We start from the raw sequence: 3,223 nt of genomic DNA, 5'->3' as shown, positions 1-3,223 counted from the left end.
AATTATATATATGTATATAAATATGAATTGTTTTTACTCTCAGAAGAGCTCTGTCAATGTGATAGATCTTTGGAGTTGCCGGCTAATGGCCTCAGTAGTGACAGGTTGCTTATTTTTCCAGGAGGCAGAATTGGATCTCATTGTTAAGACTTGGGTCATGTGTCAATCTTAAGACAATGAACTTGCCAAAATGATATATACTATTGATTGGTTTGATCCTGGTCATGGGTTAATTCCCAGAGCACAAAAGTGGGATAAGGTTGAGGAGAATGACTCTTACTAAGATTATGCAGACTGAAAGTGGATTAAAGTTGATTCTTCAGAAGAGAATCAGAGTGCTATTAGTAGAAGGGAGAAAAGACCAAGGCAGAGACAAAGTTCATTACTGATGAATTTTTTATCACTCGGGAGAAATAATTATTTCATATCCCCTTGGATTATCACCCAGGTAATATATCCTATCCCACTACTATTATAATATGTAATAAATATTTACCTTTTCTCCTAGGATGAAAGTTCCTTTGGACTTATGGTTTTTTAAAAAAAATTATTCATAGCACTGTAACATTATATTCAAACAGTCAGGACAGATTTATAATTTTATAGCATTTTATTAATTTAATGCTTTTACAATACTTCTATTCATCAAAAACGAAGAATCTTAACTGATAATTACTGCATGTACTAAATGTATTTAAATTTCTACTGTAATGATGGAGCCTGACAGCATGTTGGCCTTCATACATTTTGTGCTAAGAAGCCTAAAGGATCATTGACTGACCTTCTTCTTTTCCAGCAAAAGGTAGTTGCTCCCAATCTTTAAGGAAGACCAAGCAATAATTGTATGATTGTATGTAGAATGAATATGGTAAGAGTTACTAACCTTACTATGAATAGTTATCATTTCACATTGTGAAATGATTGCCACCACCAAGCTAATTCACATATCCATCACAACACACAGTTACCCTTTTATTGGTGTGTGTGGTGCGAACATTTAAAATCTACTGTCTCACCAAATTTCAAGAATGCAATATAGTATTATTAATGATAGTCATTATGTTATAAATTGGATCTCCAGAACTTATTCATCTTATAACTGAAAGTTGTACCCTTTGACCAAAATCTCTCTATTTCCTCCATTCCCCAACTCTTGGCAACCACCGTTCAACGCCCTGCTTCTATGAGTTTGACTTGTTTTAAATTCACATAAGTTTGCAAGTTTTAAAGGAAATAACTATGCAGCCATAAAAAATGATGAGTTCATGTCCTTTGTAGGGACATGGATGAAATTGGAAATCATCATTCTCAGTAAACTATTGCAAGAACAAAAAACCAAACACCGCATATTCTCACTCATAGGTGGGAATTGAACAATGAGATCACATGGACACAGGAAGGGGAATATCACACTCTGGGGACTGTGGTGGGGTGGGGGGAGGGAGGAGGGATAGCATTGGGAGATATACCTAATGGTAGATGACGAGTTAGTGGGTGCAGCGCACCAGCATGGCACATGTATACATATGTAACTAACCTGCACAATGTGCACATGTACCCTAAAACTTAAAGTATAATAAAAATAAATAAATAAATAAATAAATATATTTACTTTTCTGTGTATTATGTGGATCTAACATTTTAATATGAAAAGGTTTGTAGATATTTAAAATGCATTTTAAATGATCACTTTATCTCATTTTTAACAAGACTGAGAACAATGAGAAGATCTCAGGTCATTGATACAACATTCTACATGTTCTTATCTATTTAGATGGTCATCTGAACTGAAAGAATTCTCATATTTTCAAAGTATTTAGAATAAAAGCAGAATGTTTGCCATAATATTTACTTAAACATCTATCATAGGCTTGTGCAATATGACATGTGAAATTAGCTTGACGAAAGGTAAATCTTTAATTAAAAGTTGTTTTCAAAATCTTAGACACTTCTCAAAAGAAGACATTTATACGACCAACAAACGTATGAAATAAAGCTCATCATCACTGGTCATTAGAGAAATGCAAATCATATCCACAATGAGATACCATCTCACGCCAGTTAGAAAGACGATCACGAAAATGTCAGGAAACAACAGACGCTGGAGAGGATGTGGAGAATTAGGAGTGCTTTTACACTGTTGGTGGGAGTGTAAATTAGTTCAACCATTGTGGAAGACAGTGTGGCTATTTCTCAAGGATCTAGAACCAGAAATACCATTTGACCCAGCAATCCCATTACCCAAAGGATTATAAATCATTCTACTATAAAGACACATGCACACATATGTTTATTGCAGCACTGTTCACAATACCAAAAACTTTGAAGGAACCAAATGTCCATCAATGCTAGACTGGATAAAGAAAATGTGGCACATATACACCATGGAATACTATGCAGCCATAAAAAAGGATGAGTTCATGTCCTTTGCAGGAACATGGTTGAAGCTGGAAAGCATCATTCTCAGCAAACTAACACAGGAACAGAAAACCAAACACCTCATGTTCTCACTCATAAGTGGGAGTTGAACAATGAGAACACATGGACACAAGGAAGGGAATATCACACACCAGGGCCTGTCAGGAAGTTGGGGGCTAGAGGAGTGATAGCATTAGGAGAAATACCTAATGTAGGTCACGGGTTGATGGGTGCAGCAAACCACCATGGCACGTGTATACCTGTGTAACAATCCTGCATCTTCTGCACATGTATCCCAGAACTTAAAGTATATAAAAAACTTAGTAAAAGTATATGAATTATTAAAGTCTGAGAATTACTCAAATCATCTCATATTCAATATTTCTGATTTAGTATGGATTTTATTTATGGAATTTTCAATTAAGTACAAAATATAATAATCTGTCAAAATCTGTTATATTAAAATATAATGAAGTAATTTTGGACCCCAATATTTTTAGTGTTCTTAATGAACAGAGATTGTAAAACAAAATAAAACCAAACAAAATAAAACTGCACTGAGCTTGATGCAGCGGCAGCTTAACTGGGCTACTGCTGTCCTACAAAAAGTGTTATTTAAATCCGGATTACTCAGATTTTGAGAAAAGAATTAAAGTGGGACTGTATTCAGCTAGAGCTGTAAGTCCAGATAATATTTCTAGGATGGAAGAGCAGATTTTCTGGAGGGCAAAAGACCTTTGTATCCTAATTATTCTGTCGAGCCACCAATAATGGGAAAAAAAGGCTTATGCTCAATGGTAAGAAC

The sequence above is a fragment of the Homo sapiens genome, chromosome 4 (genome assembly GCF_000001405.40).
Source record: "Homo sapiens chromosome 4, GRCh38.p14 Primary Assembly".
Lineage (NCBI taxonomy): Eukaryota > Metazoa > Chordata > Mammalia > Primates > Hominidae > Homo > Homo sapiens.
This window is presented reverse-complemented; position numbering follows the sequence as displayed.